At 37.1% G+C, this 22,254-nt stretch overlaps 1 annotated feature.

The window, feature by feature from the left end:
- Positions 17,874-18,052: a silencer, noted in NCBI's record as "fragment chr2:103898787-103898965 (GRCh37/hg19 assembly coordinates)". NCBI's record gives its function as "represses an EF-1alpha promoter that drives an FKBP-Casp9 reporter gene in an ReSE screen in K562 erythroleukemia cells {active_cell/tissue: K562}" and the evidence as "EXISTENCE:reporter gene assay evidence [ECO:0000049][PMID:32094911]".

Consider the following 22,254-nt stretch of genomic DNA (forward strand, 5'->3'; position numbering starts at 1 on the left):
CACATAGCTAAGAGATGGAAAGCTGGGCTTTGAATCCATGGAGTCTAATTCCAGAGCTTGCATGCTAACCTCCAAACCCTGTGCAGTGCATTCATCATGTCTGATGTGGGGGAGGAAGTGCAGCCTGGTGCTTTGGAGCAAAGCAAATGTAAATGGCCCACCTGGGGACTGAACCTATGACCTCAGCATGATTAGCACGGGGCCAACGAACTAACTGAAAAGCAGAAGCATATTATCCAGAATCCTCTCATACGACTTGATTGTTTTCAGGGCATGCTATGAAAGTTGAGAGGGAAATCTATTAATTTTATTTAAACACACACACACACACAACACATTTGACCACTTCAATTCTCATTTCTAGACAAAAAAACTTCAATTTAGATATATAGACAAGTTTGCATGTGCATATACTTCCGTATATATGCAAATGCATACGTATGTGAATACCTGCAAGCATAAACAACTGTAGATACAAAATGTGGACCTCAACATAATTGTGCATTGATACAGGACCTCTATTTTTGTTCTTATATAATTAATGTAGTGCATGTGTGGTCTCTGTACGTATGTGTATAGTGACCAAAGCATCACCAATCTTGCATTTCAACAAAATTCCTGTACTTTACAGGCATTACTATTGTCACTGAAGCTCTAATGACAGAAAGATTGGACACTTTTGAAAGAGAAATTTATTTTTATGCTTTTAAAATGAAAACATAGTGTACCTTTCATTTCAAGCAGATGTGGGAAAATCTGAAGCTCTGAGCTGCTTTCTTCTTTCGGGAACTCTAAGGGTTTCTGCATAAAGTTTAAGTGATATTATGCCTTGTGGAATGAAAACATAAAGAAGGTATTATTTGGTGCTAATTATGCACAATGGTTTTATTTATGTTTCAATCACAGGGAAACACGAAAACAGCAAGGTGCTAGAGACAGCCAAACCTAGACCCCTCCCAGGTCTCTAATTTTCATCCCTGATGCTCTCTGAAATGGAAACAATCACATGTCAAGGAGAGAAGGGTAAGAGTCATTGTGACTATTCCTCTGTGATCTCCCCTGAAAAGCAATTGCTTTATCATCGCCAAGAATTTCTGAATCCAAGTTAGAAAGGAAAAAAAAAATAAAAAAACGCTTGCCATGTTCTTAGTACCATTTGCCTTGACAGGAAAAACAACAGCATCTTGCCTCCTCAGCTTATTCCTCATCAGTGAACTCTTCCCCAAACAAGACACTCCACATCAGCCATTTGGGATCGCTTCCATCAGTGTTGTAACGAGCTCTTCTATGCAGTTTGTACTCACTGCAAAATGTACCGAAGCCAAGAGCAAGGAGTTGGTAATCTGGGCACCCACAGTTGTGATGAGGCATCTTCAGTGTAATCGTCCAAATCAAATATTTGGCTGTGCTTCTTCAGATGCGATATCTCATATTGTCACTGTTGAACTGGCAGAGGAGCGGAGCTCGCACTGGAAGAGATGCACCCGAGGGAGTTGGGGGACGGGGTAGACCGGAGGGAGAAGAGTCCTCACAGCGTGCCTCCTCTTCCTGCAACACCTCTCGCCCTTTGTTCATCTCAGTCATTCCTCTAAAGCTGCTGCACCCCTTGGACAAGGGCCAAACCTTTATAAAGCCAAGGAAGAATGGTGGAAAAGCACATACGTCTTTGTGGTCGAATTTTCCTTTAAGCAGCAAAGATTTCAAATAATAGTCCTCGTATTACTAGTATTTCACTATTATCCACTTCTAAGCTGTTATCTGTGATGGTGACATGGCGGCATGCTTTTGAAATGTACCTTCTAGTCAATGTAGCAATTTTCACATATGTTATTTCATTAGATTCTTAAGACAACCCCATAAGCTAACAGTACAGCTCAGGAACCGTTTTCCCCTTTTTTGTAGAAGAGACCCTAAGGCCTAAAAAGGACTAATAGCTCATACAAGGAGCTGGGAAGTTATCCTCAAAATCTGTGTCCACTCTTCCCGTCTGCTATGCTACATTTCCAGCAGGACCGTGATTGCTTTTCACAAAAATTTACGGGTATTTTAGGGAATATTCACTCTCATATCAGAAATGTGTCACCCTGGGTTGTAAATTTTTCAGACTAGAAAACCTCTGTGGATTTCTATAAAATTTGTCACAAACATAATATTGCTATTTATTTTTTTTTCTTTTATGGTTGAGAAGGAAAATTGATTATATAAACATAGCTTCTCACTATCATTCCTGTGTTACTACTTTGTTCATGTTATGCCCAGCTTAAATGGACTGGGTTGACTGTACCCATCACTCTCACCTGACTCCCTTGTGCTTCATCTTCTGGCACTGAGCTCTGGTTTGTTTGTTTTCTCAGGCGCAGTTGATGGTTCATGCTTCTAAATCCACAGATGCACTTTCCTGTCGTGGCTATCTACTGGGAGTTCAGAATATCACCTGTTTTTGGATTGCCTGTTTCTGAGTTTCATTCACCTTTTGAGACGTATTGCTACTTTTTCTAGACCTCCTGTCACTCTGTTGACTTTGTCTATTTGTTCATTGTCAAATTTTTCTGATTGATAGGTTATTCTGCCTCCTGGTCCCCAGAAACTCCCCAGGTCTACTTCGAGATTATGTCTACCTAAATAATTGGTCAATTTTTACATCCTTGTTTCTCTCAAGACCTCATGATCTCAGTTTATTTATACAGGTTATTGATAGTTATTGATATAAGCCAAATGTATCAACTGCCTGCAGTATAATGAACTTGATAGATTCAGATTACGATTTTTCTTGAAACTCAGGAAGGTAATTACAAACAAAAACAAGAGAAAGTAAGCCATGGTAGAGCCTTAAGAAGATAAAGGAGCTGATGTAGAGAGTATTTATGATAGAATAGTCTAACAGCTCTATGAAGAATAGATTGGCAAATATGGCAAAATAGCAAAGATCAATAAAAGCCATTTTAGTAAAACAGTGAAGAAAACAGCATGTGGGATTGAGAAAGAAAGGAAAATATGAGGTATATTTCAAAGGAAAGAGTGATAGCTCTTTATTCATTAATCCTTCATCAGGCACTCATTCAGTAATTCAACACACATTGAGCATATTTGTTACGGATGGAATTATATGCCCTCCCACCTGTGTTGAAGTCTTAACCCCCCTAGTACCTCAGAAAGTGAACTTATTTGAAAATAGGGTGCTTGCAGATGTAATTAAGATCAGATAAGAAAAATCCTCTTGTTTTTCCTTAAATATTGAGTAAGGTGGACCGCTAATCTTATATGGCTGGTGTTCTTATAAAATGGGGGAACTTGGGCACAGACAGACATGCATAGACAGAAGATGAGGTGAGAAGACACAAGGAGAAGACAGGTCATCTACAAGCCAAGGTGAGAGGCTTGAAATTGATCCTTCCCTCACATCCCTCGCTTAGAATGAGCCAACTCCTTAATCTCAAACTTCTACCCTACAAAACTGTGGGAAAATAAATGGTATTTGAACCACCCCGTGTGTGGTACTTTGTTAAGGAAGCCCTAGAAAATTAATGTAACATCGAAGGTGAGAAATATTCTTCTAGACACAGGAAACATAATGGGTGGTGATGTCCCCGGCTTGGAGGAACCACTTAATTCATTGCTTAGGCAAATAAAAGTGCACACCATGGTGACTGTCACTGCAGAAATATGAAGTAATTGCACCTCGGAAAAGAGGCAAGTTCCACTGAAGAGGTGATATTTGATCTGGAATTTAAAGGATGGGCAGAGGCCAGGGGCAGTGGCTCACTCCTGTAATCCCAGCACTTTGGGAGGCCGAGGTGGGCGGATCACCTGAGGTGAGGAGTTTGAGACCAGCCTGGCCAACATGGTGAAACTCCGTCTCTACTGAAAATACAAAAATTAGCCAAGGATGGTGGCGCATGCCTGTAATCCCAGCACTTTGGGAGGCCAAGGAGAGCAGATCCCCTGAGGTCAGGAGTTCGAGACCAGGCTGGCCAACATAGTGAAACCCGGTCTCTACTAAAAACACAAAAATCAGCCAGGCATGGTGGTGCAAACCTGTAATCCCAGCTACTCAGAAGGCTGAGTAGGAGAATCGCATGAACCCGGGAGGCAGAGGTTGCAATGAGGAGAGACTGTATCACTGCACTCCAGCCTGGGAAACAAGATTGAAACTCCATCTTAAAAAAAAAAAAAAGGATGGGCAGAAATTTATGAGGAGGATAATAAGGTGGAAAGGGTATTCCAAAAGGAGGCAAATACGTGGGACTTGAAATGACTTAGAGAGCTACAAGAACGTGAGGGTGGCAGGAGGGGATGTGTCCTGGGAGGGAACTGAGAAATGACAGACCACTGAAGGCCAGAATGAGTGGTTCAGCTAGAAAGTGTTTATCCTAAAAATGAATATGGAATTAGGATTTAGAATTCGAATTTAGGATTTTTATCCAAAAACTAATTAAGAATAATCAACATTTTAGAATCAGATCAGTGACATGAATGCATTGGATATTTTTGGAGGATAACTTTAAGAGGAATGTAACAGGTAGGAGTAGTGAGGAAAGAAAGCAGCCTGGGCTCAGACAGGAGGCTGGCCAGGTGTCCACTGAGAGAGCCTGAGGCAACGGACTTAGGCAGTGTCAGAGAGGTTAGAGGAAGAAAGGCAAGGACCCAGGGGCATTTATGAGTACAATTAGTTTGAGTTAGAATCCGAGGATGCAGGTGGTGAGAGGGAGGAATGAGATGAAGATAATTTTAAATTAACCTAAAGTTTCAGGACTTAGCATAATGCCTGGCAAAGGCAGGGGCTCTATAAAGGTTAATTATTAACGTGGCTCCCAGTCACCCCTGGTAGAAACCTAGGTGTAAACATAAGAGGCAGGATTCATTTAGAGGAAGAATTGGAAGGGGTGAGGTTGGTTTGTTCCTTTACTCATTAAAAAGGTACATTGAGTGGCCAGGTGCGATGGCTCACGCCTATAATCCCAGCACTTTGGGAGGCTGAAGTGGGTGGATCACAAGGTCAGGAGATCGAGACCATCCTAGCTAACGCAGTGAAACCCCATCTCTACTAAAAATACAAAAAAAAAAAAAAAAAAAATTAGCCAGGCGTGGTGACGGGCGCCTGTTGTCCCAGCTACTTAGGAAGCTGAGGCAGGAGAATGGCGTGAACCCGGGAGGCGGACCTTGCAGTGAGCCATGATCGCACCACTGCACTCCAGCCAAGGTGACAGAACGAGACTCCAGCTCAAAAAAAAAAAAAAAAAAAAAAATGTACATTGAGTATCTGTTCTCTGCCGGAGATTGACAATGGATAGAGAGTCTCTTTTAAAGCAAAGTAGATTACAGCATCAGGAATATTTTGAGAATTAGTAAAAAACACATATTGCTAATGCTAAGAATATTCTGATCTACAGTTGGCTTCCACAAAAGCAAGAAACAAACAAAAAACAGAACCAGATAATTTTATGCTACATAATTTATTTCAAAGTATTTTTTTTAACCACTCAGTTCATCTTAAAAAGCTGTCTGACTCAAATCTTGGATAATGAAACCTAACATAAATACCACACATACAAAAGAAGACACTCAACCAAAGGAGAAAAAAGAAAAACTCCAAAATAATTGTAAAATAATCTGATGGAAGAGAGATATGAAAAATCTTGCCATCAAATTTTCAAATGCCAGAGAGATTTTCAAATCCAACCCACCTTCCTCCTTTTCTATTGTCACCACAGATGGGCTGTCTGGTATTCTCAGATACCAGTTTCCCCACATCAGCCCTGGATGCCATCCCTCATCAAGCCTAGCCCCCTATCACTAACTCGTTTCTCTCAATCTCTTCCCATGAACATCCAAGTCTCTCCCATCTTGTAAAAAGGCTTCCCACTTTGCTGCCACTTTCATATCTCTGGTTACCTTTGCATGGCCAGGCTTCTTTGAAGTGTCTACAAGGCTACTTACTCATTCTCCTCCAACTACCTCCTTCCCTCCTGCTCCATCCCCACCCTTCACTCAGGGCAGTCTGTCTCCTGATTCCCTGACGCCACTGAAACTGCATTTACCGGAGAGATACCCACAAAATATCTGAGTCTGACACAATGGCAATTCTTACCTTTCTTACTCAAACTTTCAATCACATTTGTCATTATTGACCACTGCCTCTTTTTTAAACAGTGTTACCCTCTTGATTTTCCTTAAATTTCCCTAATTCTTCCCTTTAGAACCTTCTCTTGAGTTTTTCCCCTTTAGCATGCCCTCAGATCACTGGTTCCAAAGCTTTAATATGAATATAAATCACATGGGCCTCACCATAAGAGACAATGGTTTTATAGATTTAACAAGCATCGAATTTCTTCTAAGTCAGGGGATCCACTTGAGAATCTCTTTCTTAAAGTTAGGGTTCATCAAGAATCCATCATAAGCCATGATCTGTCCTGATTCCACTACCACCCCTACTGAAAATTTTCATTTACTCCTATAGCTTTAATGCCTATCTAGACTTTGATGGCTCCCCAAACTCTTCTTTCATGCCATAACTACTCATGGCTTCCAGAGCTGATATACAGCAATCTACTAATTTCCCAACTTGAATACATTGATCTATATAAATCACAGCCCTCAAACTTCACATGCTCAGACTAGACTCATGATAGTCCCCTCTCAGCATGTCTTCCCTGTTTTTATATCTAAGCAAATAGCTGGTTGCCCAGCATACACGCCAGTGCCTCATCCCAGAGTCTTTGGTCATCAAGTGCTGTTTTCAGATGTGCTGCACTCACCTCACTTCAATGACTCAGTGTATCTTTTTCTGTGCCTGACATGTTTGTTCCCTTTATCCTTCAAGTCTTTTAGATTTCTATTCCCCTGGGAAACATTTCTCAAATTGTTTAGGACCCAGCGAGGTTCTTCCATTAAATTTCATACATCAATATCATAAGATATAATATATTTTATTGTAATTATTTATTTAGCCATCTGCCTCCATCTCTAGATTGTAATATTATTACTGGGAGGGTTTGTTTATGTTTTACTCTTTACCATTAGTATCTTTCACCTACGTCTCATTTGATGGAAAGTCAATAACTTATTGTTGAATAAATGACTAAATAATCCAACATGACAAACAAAATGTAGGCAAAAGTCCTTGCAGAAGTTTTGGCCTCTCAAGTAAAAAGGCAAACCCTCATCAGAAGAAAGCTGATTACCCTTTGTCCTATGTGGAATATGAATGTGTGCTAACTCACAAGTAATATACTTTCAAAATATTCACAAAGTTTATTTAAAAATTTTGAAGAAATTTATCAAACATTCTAAAATTTCTACATTACATTTTCTTCCTTTCTTTTGGAGTCTGGTAATTTATTTTCCTACAGGGTTCAAGGACTTCTCTTTCAAAGGCTTTGTTAGTGACTCTGGAAAGGAGTTAATATGTCTCCTTTCTTCTCATAGGATACAAATGAAAATTATTCTAACATTTCTACTTTGAAGAAAAGTCTGTTAATCTTAAAAGAGAGAACTAAAGTTCAAATCAAAGAGTTGTTCTTTCTCTTTGTTATCTGTTGAAATCATCGCAACAATTTCTAACTAAGGAGCTATTTCATTTCTTATAGTTTGTTGAAAGGAAATATTACTAACCTTTGGTGTTTTTAATTGCCTGAGCTTCTTAAATGTCTGTGTTCTTTTTTTGTACACATTCTTGAAGAAATTCATTATATTTCTTTTTCTTTTGAATTTGATTTTTTCATTTCACCAAAGTCAAATATTTCCACAAGCCTTACAGTGAAAATTCACCAGGACCTTGTCCTTTCTATTTTAGTCTCCAGTTACCAGAGGCAATAATTTTCAACAGTTTCAGTTGTGTCTTATGATTTAGACTTCCATAATTTTTACTGGTATTATTATTGTTATTTCTTTATTTTTCTATACTGTATTTTTAATTATTCCATTCTAGTATGATCCAGTGATTTTCTAATGTGAAATACTTAGATTTTATGCCAAATATTATTTGTGATTGCATCACTATTAGATAATTAAATTATTATTTTACAAATATTATTGACAGGTAAGCTATGAAGAATCCAACAATGCATTTTATTTCTTTAGTTTTTTACTTATTTTTACTTTTTCTGTTCAAAATAATTTTAGTTGCTATTATAGTTAATAATTTTCTATTTTTGCGTATGTGAGATGGTGTGTATTATACAACTATTTTCTTTTTAATAGATTATGTTTCTATTATTTTTGCATATATCCAGCTGTAGGAATTAAATATGCTTTTTGAATTTATTAAAATTCAACATAAATTAATATTCCTATCACTTCCCAGACAAAGCAAGAGGCTTAAATTCTTTAAATTCAACTATACTGCTTCTTGTGTTATTTTCATGAATTTTAAATTTATGTATATCTAAACTCCACATGATTTTGTTATTGCTATTATTGTTGTGTATAGTCAGTATTCATACAGATTTATGAAAATATTTATCCTTTGTTTTTCTTTTTATTCTTTCTTGCATTTCTGTTTCCACCTAGGTTCATTTTCCTTCTGCCTAAAAAACTACTTTAGTATCACTTTTTCTGTGGGTTTGCTAACAATACATTCTGTTTTCTCTTACAAGAAAATGTCCTTATTTTACTTTTACTTTTTTAAGGACCATTTAGCTGGGTATAGAATACAAGTTTACCAGTTCATCAGTTATTTTTATTTTCTTTCACCTCATTGCTTTCTGGCTTCCCATTTTTTAAAAGAAGTTAGTTGCCAGTCTTACTATTACTTCTTTGATAATAATGTGCCTTTTGTTTTTTATCCATCCTTGGCCTTGTCTACTGTTTAAGTATTTGTCATTGGTTTCCTGTACTTTGATTCTTACATGTCTATATATTTTTTCTTTTATATTCTTTTTGAAAGTTGTATTAGTTTGTTTCTGGTATTTATGCTTAGGGTTTATAGTGCTTTTGAAATATGCAATTTGATATCTCTCACTAGTTTTAAAAATTTTCAGTCAGTATCTTTTCAGATATTGCTTCTATCTCATTGTTTCTTAGACTTTTGTGACTACAATAAAAAATGAATTAGATATTTCAGCATAACAAATACACACACACACACACACACACACACACACATACACACAAACACATTTCTTATGCCCTTTTCATTATTTTTTATTCTTTTTTGTCTGTGCTTTACTCTAAGTATTTCCTACGGAATCGTCTTCCAGTTCACTGATCCTCTCTTCAGCTATACGCAATCTGCTTCTAAGCACATGTAAGATCTTATTTTTTCTAGACAAATTTTATTTAGCTCTAATTCTGTTTACTTCTAGAATTTTCATTACATTTTATTTTGATTTTGAAAATATTGATACAAATTCTTTATCTGTTTAGTATATAATTTGGTTGCTTTAAAGTCCAAGTCTGTTCACTATAATAGGGATGTGTTTCTTTTTTTTTTTTTTTTGATTTTTTTTTTTGTTGGTTGTTTGTTTTTATCTTTATTATTGGTAGGTCTTAGATTTGTCTGAGAACTTCTTTTCCATTCCAAGAGCTGATGGGGTTTGATATTCCACCAAGCTTGTAAACCATTATGGGAAATCTCTGTTTAAAAATACAGAAGAGGTCACCAATTATATCAAGTCATTGTACAAATTAGAAAACGATTAACTTCCTGGAAGGACTCAGACTTGAGGGCTTAGACATGGTGGGTCTTAAATTAGTGAGTTGATGGCTTTCTGTGAAGAATAAAGTAACTTTTCCTCTCTCACCTGATACAGCTTAAAGACATAAAGCATGGTGAATAGAGAGTGAACTGAATTTCAGCCTGTACTCATTCTGTCAGTGAGGTGTTTTTGTGTAAGGTGCAAACTAAGAAGCATTTCATCATGGTCCCACATGTAGGTTGCCATACATAAAATGTGATCCACAAAGTTTGAATGGAACCAAAGAATTTTTCAAGCCTGTTCTGGGAATATGAGGTCTGAATCTATTTAGTCTATAAAGTTTAAAATCTAATAAACATATATACAGATGTACATATATCTATAGAATATAAAATTTGATATTAAATTTTGATATAACTAACATGTAAAAAAAAACCAATGTAATATATTAAGATATTATCAAAAGCACATATAAGACACTTTTAGAAATGTTGGCAGGGGAAACTATGAACTGATACAGGTAGTTAATATCAAAAGCTCTGCCAATTTCTTTCATTCATAGGATAGTCTTTTTTGTTGCACAAATAAACACTTCCACCAAGACAATGATGACAAAAATGACAATTATATAGGAGAGAGAAAATTACTGGAGCAGTTTTGTGGACTGGATCCAGTTATAAGTGCCCATTTATTGAAGCTTAATATAGAGTCTCTACACTGAGCTTTTTAGACAATTTATAAAAGAAAATAATAAATGACCAAAATAAGCAGTAATGCTTCTTTTTAGGGAAATAGCTAAAAATTATCTCAATTTCTTGTTGAGTAGCTCATATATATTTATAACATATATTATGTTTATTCATCTTTTATTTTCTACTTCACTGATGGGGTTGCTCATACTATCAGGGTATCTGATTATGAGAGGGTCCTAAGAAAAATCATATAAAGTCAATAGGAGAACAGTTTTTTTGTTGTTGTTTGCTTGTTTTTTGAGACTGAGTCTCGCTCTGTCACCCTGGCTGGAGTGCAGTGGTGCGATCTCGGCTCACTGCAACCTCCCCTCCTGGGTTCACGCCATTCTCCTGCCTCAACCTCCCGAGTAGCTGGGATTACAGGTGCCCACCACAATGCCCAGCTAATTTTGTTTTTGTATTTCAGTAGAGACAGGGTTTCAGTTTTTACACTCCAGTAAGGAGTTTCTTTAAACAGCTCTTTCCTTCTATTTCTTGTCATCTTTAAGAATTGTAAATGGTCACTTCTGATGTCTGTTTAATCAAGGCTATTTAAATGAATAGCTTCTTAACATAATTTTTTAAATGCCATTTTAGAGGCAATGTGTAAGGAGATGCAAGGATTGGCTCTATACTATCATTAACTTAATGGTTTGGGTGACACTTGTTTCTCTCTGCAAGTATCTGTTTCTCCTCAGATTTCACATCAATTGTTTATCCTTCTTCATTTCTCTGAAAAAGTTCAAGGAAAATTCTTAATTTAGATTTCATCCAGCTTTTTTCTTATAAGTGTGGGACATTTTTAGTTTTCCTATATCTTCAAGATGAGCTGGAAGCCCTATATGCTACATATTATTTTTAACTTTTTCTCATTTGAAATATCATAGATTTATTTCTAGTAAAATATATTAATATTTAACTCCATTTATTTAAATAGCTGCATAATATTCTGAGTATGCATATTGCCATAGTTTATTTAATCAGTCTCCTACATATAGGCATTCAGTTTTACTAAATTATTTGTTTTTAACCATTATTACTATTATTACTTGTTAGTACCTTTATTTTATCTATGAAGCACACACATCAGGGAAATGGAAACCAACTTCCTTTTTTTCTGTTTCAGGCTCCATATGCAAATGGACTGGTGCATGACTCAGTCGTAGAGAGCCAAACCAACTATGGCATGGAACAGATGGCAGGATTTAGAAGATTCTACTCTGTATCTCCAGCACCTAATATAATTGGTAACACCAGTGGTTCATGGTCCAAGAATAATGGAAATGTCTCATGTGACAATTGTGAAAGATTTCTGGACCATTATTTCTTACTAAACCAGTTTATTGAAACTTGGAATCTGGGCTAAAAGACAGACAAGCTTTAGAAGTTAATTTATGACTGAATAGATAATTTTAGCTTCCTCGAATATTTACATTTTAATGGTGCAGGCAGGAGAAAAACCCAGGAACACAGTGATATTCCTGAATTATAGAGCAGGGGACACGAATCTTGTCTTTCTCCTGATGGAAATATTTTACATTCTAAAGGGTTAGAGTAAGAACCTAAGATCCTTTCCATTATGTTTCCAAAAAGGCTGTCTCAGAAGAGGAAGGGTGAGCAGTCATGTTTATCTTATATTTAAACATTCAGTTTCACGTTTTAGGGGGTTACTCACCTACAGCATGAACCCCTTACATGTAAGATGACATCTGTCTTTTATCATGTCATCTCAAGAGAAAAAATTTGGGTGCTAGGGAATTTCATATTTTTTACTACAAATAAATAGCACTGATGTGTTGTCCTCTAGAAAACTTGTGAGTGAATTATGAGTACCATAATAAATATAGGTGTAAAAAATTTAACATACACAAACTTCAAACTATAGGAGCGAGAGAAAAAATATATAAAGATGTTAGGTTGCTGACTTTGAAGATGAAGTTAGGGGTCACAAGTCAAGATATGAAGGAAGCCTCTAGAAGTTGAAAATGGCAAGGAAAATAATTTGGGGTAGCAAAGAACTGTAAAATTAAATAATTTAAACTTAACTTAAACATAAAGCTGTTGGAACTTTAAATTATCCTGAGCCATGAAGGAATGTGTCTATGCAGCCTGAGACATGTGACATGCAGCTGCCAACTTCTGCTTTTTCTTCATAAATAATTAAGACCAAACACACCAGAGACAAAACTACCTGGCCTCAGAAAGTAATAAGCTTCCCTGGAGTGTAGCAATCTGTAACCAACCAAACCACTGTGGCATATGCACCTGGTCTTATATGGAAAATGTTGTGATTCTGCTGAAACTTCTTTATTTCTACCTATGTAAGTGAAACCTTAACTCCTGCACTCGTACGGCTATCCTCAAGCTCTGTGCTTGAATAAACTCTGTACTTAATCATATGTTCTAAATCTCATTATTTAAGGTTGACAAAAGGTAAAAGAAAAACAAATAGAGGGGCTTTGAAAAGCTATGACACGATTCTGGGAATCTAGAAGGCCATGTGCATGCACATTGCCATTCATGCGCATAGGAAAGACCTGAGAAGGCCCTAATCTCTCACTTCTAGCTAACTTCGATTCTCTGTACAAGCAAGATGTAAAGACTAACACAGAGTTTTAAACCACCCGCAGAAGCACTAAAGGCATGCCCCAGCACACAGACCCACCTCAGCAAAGATTGGGGAATACTGAAAAGAATTGAAAAGTGAGTATCATGAACAATTCTATGCCCATAGATTGGACAACTTAGATAAAATATACTAACCCCTTGACAGACACAAACTACCAAAACTCATTCAACAAAACATAGATAACCTGAATAGTCCTATCTTTTAAGAAAATTAAATTTGCAGTTAAAAACATGCCAAAAAAAAAAAAATAACCAGATGGTTTTACTGCTGGATTACACTAAACACTTAAGGAAGAAAATAATACCAATTCTCCATACTTCATTCAGAAGGTAGAATGAGAGGGAACACTTCCAATGCATCCCCAAACCAGACAAAGAAATCACACACACAAAAATTACATAATTATAGTTGCAAAAATCCATCAAAATATTATCAGATTAAATTTGTAATATGTAAAAGGGTTAATACACCACAGCCTAGTTGGATTCACACCAGCCCTATGAAGTCACATTTAGCATTGAAAAAACAATCAATACAATTCACCATATTAATGGATTATTTAAGAGAAAACATATAATCATATCAATAGATGCAAAAAAAGCTTTGAATAAAATTAAAACCCATTCATAATAATAACTAAGTAAACCTCTCAGTAAACTAAGAATAAAAAAGAATTTTTTTTCACTTCACAAAGGATATCTTCAACAACCTACATTTAACATCATGCTCTATGATAAGAGACTGGATGTCATCATATGTCATGGAAGGATGTATGTTCTAACCACTCCTATTCAACATTGTACTGGAACCTAGTTAGTGCAATCAGACAAGAACATAGAAAAAGAAAGAAAAGACAAAACATACAGATTTGAAAAAAAAAAAACTGTCTCTATTCACAGATAATACATTTGTCTATGTAAAAATAGTCCCCCAAAATCAACCAAAAAAAGCTCCTAGAACTAATAAGATTAGCAAGTTGGCAAGATGCAAGGATTCTGTATTTGGAATTTAACCATATTCCTATATAACAACAATGAGCAATTAAAATTTGAAATACAAAACAGAAACCACTTATAATTGCAGGAAAAATAACAAAATAGGTAAAAGTAAAATAAATGCAGGATCTGTCTGCTAAAAAATACAAAATATTAATGAAAGAAATAAATAGGATTAAATAGAGATATACACCATGTTCATAGACTGGAAGACTCGTTATAATTAAGTTGTTGATTCACAGAAATTTGATCAATAGATTCCATGCAATCCCTTTGAAAAACTCAACAAAAAATTTTTTATAGCTTTTTTTTTTTTTTTTTTTTTGTTGAGACGGAGTCACCCTCTGTCACCCAGGCTGGAGTGCAGTGGTGCAATCCCGGCTCACTGCAAGCTCCGCCTCCCGGGTTCACACCATTCTCCTGCCTCAGCCTCCTGAGTAGCTGGGACTACAGATGCCCGCCACCACACCTGGCTAATTTTGTTTTGTATTTTTAGTAGAGACGGGGTTTCACGATATTAGCCAGGATGGTCTCAATCTCCTGACCTCATGATCCACCCGCCTCAGCCTCCCAAAGTGCTGGGATTACAGGCGTGAGCTTTTGTAGCTTTTTAGAAGTTAATTTTAACATTATATGGAGAGTCAGGTGACTTACAATATGAAAAAACAACTCTGAAAAAGAATACAGTTGAAGGACTCAAACCATCTAATTTTAAGATGTACTATAAAAATATTGTAATCATTACAGTAAAATATTGATGAAATGATGAATACATAAACTGATGGATGAAATAGAGGACCCCAAAATAGACCCATACTAATACAATTTATTGGTTTTTGATAAAAGTGCAAAGACAATTCAATGAAGAAATAATATTTTCATCAAAAAGTATTGGAACAAATTAGTATACATATGTGGAAAGTAAATTTCAAAAGATACATTACACTTTTTATAAAAATTAACTCAAAATGGATCATAGGCTTAAACATAAACATATAGTAGCATAGGAGAAAATCTCTCTAATTTGGCATTTGGCAATGATTTGAGGAATATCACAGTAAAAGCACAAACTAGAAAAGGAAAACCAAAATTTGATAAATTACACTTGCCCCAGATTAACTTTTATTCTGTGAAAGATACTGTTAAGATAATAAAATGATGATTCACAGGCTATTACAAAATATTTACAAATCACTTATCTGATAAAGAATTGAGTTCATAATATAGTAACAGTCCTTAAAGCTCAACCCTTTGAAGCAGTAAAAAGTGAGAAAAAAATTCTGAACAGGCATTTTACCAAAGAAGATATATGGAGGGCATGTAAGCATATGAAAAGATGTTCAACATCATAAGTCATTAGGAAAATTAAATTAAAACTATAATTTGACACCATTTCACACCTACTAGAATGTCAAAGCTAAACTAAACAATGATAGCAGCAATAAAAACCTGACAATACCAATGATCCAGGCAATAGGAACTCTTATTCAGTTTTGAAGGAAATACAAAAGGATACAACCACTTTGGAAAATAGTTTAGCACTTTTTCTCATAAAGTTAGACATACTCTAGGACCAAGTACTTTTACTCCTAGTTATTCAAAAGAATTAAAAACTTATATTCACACCAAAATGTGTACATGGATGTTTATAGTAACTTTGTTCGTGATATCTCAAAATGGAAAATCGCCCAGATGTTCTTTAAGAGGCATATGGATAAACACACTGTGACCCATCTATATGATGTAATTCTTCTCAGCAATATAAAGGCATAAGCTATTGACATATGCAACTGCACGGATAAATGTTCAACATATTTTATCAAGTGAAGGAAGCCAGATCCAGAGGCTACATGTTGCATAATTCCATTTATAAGTCATACTGGGAAAGGGAAACTATAGAGACGATTACCCTTTCAGTGGTTGTTAGGGTTTAGGGATTGGGAAGGAGCTTACTACTACAGAGCTTCATGGATGATGGAACTGCGCTAGGTGGTATTGGGATGGTAGATACGTAACCGATTGGATCCTGAAACAGTCCCATGGGACTCTACGTCTTAAATAATCGCTTTAGAGAGATATGTAATGTGATACCCCAAATTGGATCCTGGAACAGAAAACAAGGAAGTTAGTGAAAAAAAAAATTACTGGAAACTAAATAAAGTCTGTGATTTAGTTAATATTATTAAATCGGTGCTAATTCTTAGTTTCGCTAAATGTGCTGTGGTATAAAAGATGTTAGCATCAGGGAACCTGGGTATGTGGCATATGAGAATTCCCTGTGAAATCTTTGCAACACACCTGTCAATCAAAAAGTACTTTCAAAATAAAAAGTTAACAAATAATATGTATAACGGAATTCCATTAAAAAAACAAACTAAATCATGAGCATATTTCTATAAGCGCAGACAATGGTGTAAGAAAGCAGGGAAGCACAGGAACATCTCTAGCCTCTATATTGCTTGACTTGATGCGATGCACACAAATGAATTTTCTATGAGCTAATAATCTGTATTCTTAATCTCGAATCTATTAAGATGTAACGGTAAAAATCATAGCTCAGTTATAGCATTTTGTTCAAAATCTCTGCATTAGAATTAGATTTGACCCACCTGACCATTACTCACTCTTACTTGGACAAGTTTTCTAAAAAAACTCCATATTTTAATGACAATATGGTCACAAGAATAGCACATTTCTCATTTAATGTTTACATATTTGCTCTTATAGATACACTTATGTCACCAAGTGCTTACATAAATAATACGCCAATAAGTAACACATAATCATGACACTAAGAATGCAGTACATTTGGGTTTCCGTTCTTAGGTGCAACTGCCAGAAAAAGGACACAGAGTTTAATTATAATAACTAAACAGAATATAATGTAGGAATGGAAAAGTGATATTAAGCCTGAGAAGAACTGAGTATGCTAGTGAGGAGAGGACAGGAGAAAGAAGGTACTCAGCCTTTGGTATTTCTCATGTTGTGTAGCGAGGAGTCAGAAATTGCAGTCCAATTGGCTGGGCACAGTGGCTCATGCCTGTAATCCCAGCACTTCAGGAGGCCGAGGCAGGCAGATCACTTGAAGTCAGGAGTTCGAGACCAGCCTGGCTACAATGGTGAAACCCAGTCTCTACTAAAAATACAAAAATTAGCTGGGCGTGGTGGTGGGTGCCTGTAATCACAGCTACTCAGGAGGCTGAGGCAGGAGAATCGCTTGAACTCAGGAGGTGGAGGTTACAGTGAGGTGAGATCACGCCACTGTACTGCAGCCTGGGTGACAGAGTGAGACTCTGTCTCAAAAAAAAAAAAGAAAAAAGAAAAAGAAAATGCTGTCCAAGTATAATGGGTGGAAATGAGGCTTAAGCATATTATTTAACATTTCTTAGGTGACTACCATCTTAATTAAGAAACATTGAGATGAGAAGGGGATGGTAAAATAGGCCACATTTCTCATTTTTCATGGTAAGCTATTAGTAGATGATCAACTTAAAGTTGATATACCAAGATGATCAACTTAAAGTTGATATACCAAGATGATCAACTTAAAGTTGATATACCAAGAATTACAAGTATTAGCTTAATACTGTAAGTAACCACTAGAAGAACCTAAAACCAAAGCAGTCCAAAGAGACGGCTCTGAGGAGTGGGTCCGTGGGTGATATGCTTTTATTGTGTGGGCCAGTTATCAGTTTATTGCCTCTCGGCTCTAATTTCCTCCTTTATTGCCTGGTCTGTGAAAATGCATCTGAGCCGTTTAAATGCTTGTTTTTGCCAGCTAGCATAACATTAAGTTTTGTTGGTAGAGGGCTCTGGAGAGACACTACAGGAGAAAAGGGCTATGATTTCTGCTTCCACTGTACTCTCTAGCCAGCTCCTGCAGTGCCCAGAGCTTGGGTCCTGCAGCATGCCAGCTTCTCCAGCACAGTGGCCCTGCGGTGCTTGGTGGCCAGCGGCACTCTATGGCTAACAGCCTTCCCGACACCTCCCTCAGGTGTGTTTGTAGAGAATTTCCTCCAGTGAGACTTGTCCCAGGGAACAGTTTTCCTTAACGCCCTAGTGGGTGGATTTCTAGCAAGTTCCAGATAGACACCTGTTAACACCCAACCAGCAATCCCTACACCACAAATTCAGGACATTGGACATTCTCATTGGATATTTGTGAAATAAGTTATATATTTAAGGTGGGGGCTGGTGGCTCACACCTGTGATCCCAGCTCTTTGGGAGGCCAAAGGGGGCGGATCACTTGAGGTCAGGATTTCGAGACCAGTCTGGCCAACATGGTAAAATCCCATCTCTAAAAAAATACAAAAATTAGCCGGGCATGGTGGTGGGCGCCTACAGGCCCAGCTACTCAGGTGGCTGAGGCAGGAGAATCACTTGAACTCAGCAGGCAGAGGTTGCAGTGAGCCAAGGTCGTGTCATACTCCAGCTTGGGTGACAGAGCGAGACTCTGTCTCCAAAGAAAAAAAATATATATATATTTAAGGTGAAAATATGTTTTGATGTATTGGGTGGTCCTGGTGTACAACTGCTGTCCCTATGTAATTGTTAGGAGTAGCTCTTCACTTCCAAGTATATCCTATTTGGGAAACTTATTATACACTGCTTCTAATTGTACTATTTGATAAGAGTATGTAGTATTTGTCTTTATCTGCAAACCTTTATTACGTCCCCATATAATCTATATACTGGGTTTGTTTTGTTGTTGTTGTTGTTGTTGTTTCTTACTAAGAGCTTAACCCATCAAACATATGAATGACTTTGTCTTTGGTCCCCAATATTTCTCTAAAGCACACGTTAAGCCACCTTGCCCTATATCATGAAACTATTGCAGTGACAGGAACTGCCCTGTGCCCAACATCAGCAAAGTCATGCCTGGTCTCTCTCCAACCAGCTCTCAGATCTTTGTTGCCTTATGTCTGCAGAGCTCTGCACTGGGCATGAACTCAAAGGTTGTTGCCTTGCTGTTCTTCCTGACTTCTAGTACTCAACTAAAGGGCACTTTGGCAACTTTTCATATTCCTGGAAAGAGCTTAAGACTGGTTTAGTGTCCCTTGTCTAACTGAGTAACTCCAAAACCAAGAAAAACAGGCCATAGTGTTAACAACGTATTCTTGGGGACAGAGTAGACCAGAAAGATGACACTGAGAGGCTAACTCTAAGGCAAAGAAAACAGAATTGACGGCCATGCGTATTGGCTCATGCCTATAATCCCAGCACTATGGGAGGCTGAGGCAGGCGGATCACTTGAGCTCAGGAGTTTGAAACCAGCCTGACCATCATAGTGAAAACCCATCTCTACTAAAAATACGAAAATTAGCTGGGCATGGTGGCGGGTGCCTGTAATCCCAGCTACTCTGGAGGTTGAGGCAGGAGAATTGCTTAAACCTGGGAGGCGGAGGTTGCAGTGAGCTGAGATCGTGCCACTGCACTCCAGCCTGGGTGACAGAGCAAGACTCCAACTCAAAAAGGAAAAAAAAACAAAAACAAAAACAGAGTTGATGAGAAAGAGCAGAGGAAACAGGAGCACAGAATCACTGGGTTAAGGATGGGGAAGGATGGGGCGGGATGGGGACATATTGTGGTTATTGATCAGGTAGCAGGGTTGAAACAAGGGATAATCAGGTAAAAGTCAAGATAAATAACAGAGAAAACAAGTATTGGGAAAGTTAGTTGGTGGCTAGGCAATTACTTTTTGTCATAAAAAGTCCTGCAAATACTATGTAGTACAAAGAATCTAGGAAGCAATGCTGTTTTGTTTGTGTTAATGAGCACTGTCCAACAACAGCTGCTGAGAATCTCTCTCAGCTCCTGGCCATGAGGGTAGGAGAGTGTCCATGAAGTAGTTACACCACCTGTTGAATAAAGACAGTTGAATCTTCACAGTCAGCTCCCTCTCATTTTAGTCTGAAGAAAGTGCCTCTTCTCTTACCCCTATTGCTTACCTGAAACCTTGAGAACAAGTCAAAGGGGCAAAAAAAGAAGACATTCAATTGCTGTGTGTTATAATTTTCCTTGACAATTTGGTTGAGAAACATTGTTTGTTGCAGATCATGGGACAACCTTTTGAGACCACTTATATCCAAAGATCGAGTTGAGTGAGTGCTCTTTGGAAAGATGAGTAAGGATGGGAGTGAAGTTAGGACGCTTCACTTGTGACCATTGATGACTTAAGTTGCCAGTTCCCCTCCGTTAATGACAGATCACACTTGACAACATCCTGAGGCACAGAGTTCCATTTTCTGAAATTACCCAGGGCAGAAATTTACCCATTTAGCACTGTCATTCCTACTTTAAGTGGCCAAAAGGAAAGAAAATTTCTTTTTATCAGAAAACACTGAATTCAGTTATGGAAAATGAGTGAGCTTCATTCTGATAATGTATACGTGGTTACTGTTCAGGATCGCCTCTGGTGCCTGGTGTCAGTCAGCCACAGTGATGAGCATGAGGGCAATGAAACCCAGAGCAGTCAAAGAGATCCCTGCTCTTTTGCATTGGTGGCTATTGTCCAGTAGGGGCCAATCTGAGCTCTTGGATTTAGTTTAGAGAGGAGGCACTACGTGCATAGAGGCCAGAGAATGACACATTCGCTGGGTCAAACTTGCAGCTGGCTCAGGATTTTTAAATGAAATTTCAATTAAAATGTTGGTTTGGTGTTTTCATGCATTCAGGCAGGGAGTAATCACTTCTGTCCAGTTAAGAGAATAAATGGGGCATTTGTTTACCCAAATCAATAACAGCAACAGTAATTTGAAATCTTTGAAAATATTTATGCTGATAATGTAAGAGACTACATAGGTGTGAGTTGAAAAGTAAATATATAAAAATGGATAACATGCATCAGATACCCATGTTGGGAAAAAATTCCGTGTATTTTTTCTTGACATATTCAATATATCTTAAACAAGGGTTTACAATTACCGGTTCAGAAGCTTCCCCTGCCTTCTTTCCACCCAAAAACTTACAGAAAAGCAAAACTTTACTAACACAAATAAGAGCTCTGAACAGCATTTGAATTCCCATCACACCACACCTGGTAAGAATCAATCTACCAGAGCGTCATCAATCATGCTGAGGCTGTCAGTTTTGACATCCTTTAAGTGTACGTTGTGTGCTTAGTGACTACATGACAGAAAATGTAAACAGACACCACAAATACAGGTATTCAGTACATATATGTGTGTGTATGTTTGTATTTGAAATATTTGGTATAAAGAAGTACAAAAAATTACAGCACACAAAACTGTCCATTAAAACACACACATGCACACATGAATGCCTGCCTGCCTCTAAGAACAAGAATGAGAAAACAACAAACAGAACAAACAAAAACAAGCAATTTGTCACACAAAATCACAAAGCTCATTCAAATAATTTACCCAAAGCAAAACGAAGTAGATCAAGTAACTGATATCAGTGTGTGCCCACCGATGAATAGATTATATTCTTATTAGCCATCCCCTTCACCCTTCATGGTGACACATCAAATTGTGACTTACTAATAGGCATTCGGAAATAGCTGGTGAGCCCAGCACAAGCCCTGTATTAATAATTCATCAGGTGCAAAAAACATGATGGTGAAGTACTTGAATATTTGAAAGCCCATGTGCATTTTTGGTTCAAACACCACCACCACCAATGACAATCAACTCAGTTTCTAATTCTATTATTAGTAGATTGCTCATTTTAATTGATTTCAGGAGAAATGTTATTCTTTTGACAGCTTATTTAATATTATTATAGCATACCCCGATTATTGAGTTCAGCAATTTTTCTCATATTTCAGAAAAAGGTATCATTTGATGTTTTGCAAAGTGCCTATTTTGAGGGCTCAGTTACATATTTATACCTGTAAAAGCCTCCGGTTCCCTTTTCCCATCCTGTACATTTCCTCCTCCCAAACAGAGGTACAGATGTAAGAAAATTTGGAATGCTAAATGCAGAACAACAAAAATAAAAAACTCAGGAATTAAAACTCCAAATTGAACCACTCTCTTCCACAAAAGTCACAGAATCTGTTTTGCTGCCAATACATCGTTTTGGACTTTGAAATATAAGGTAAAGTTCAACTATTTTCTTTTATTTTTGTATTAATTTTCTCATCTCTAACTTAGTAGATTCAAGTGTAACAGTTTCTGTAAAACTGAATCATAGCAAGAAATGTAGTATTCAAGTTTCTTGAAATATTCTCAGGATGTCAGATTCATTTAATAGCAAAATTATATCAATTTAAAAAGCAATGGAAATGCAAGAGGAAGAT

Source organism: Homo sapiens, chromosome 2 (genome assembly GCF_000001405.40).
Source record: "Homo sapiens chromosome 2, GRCh38.p14 Primary Assembly".
Taxonomy (NCBI): Eukaryota; Metazoa; Chordata; class Mammalia; order Primates; family Hominidae; genus Homo; species Homo sapiens.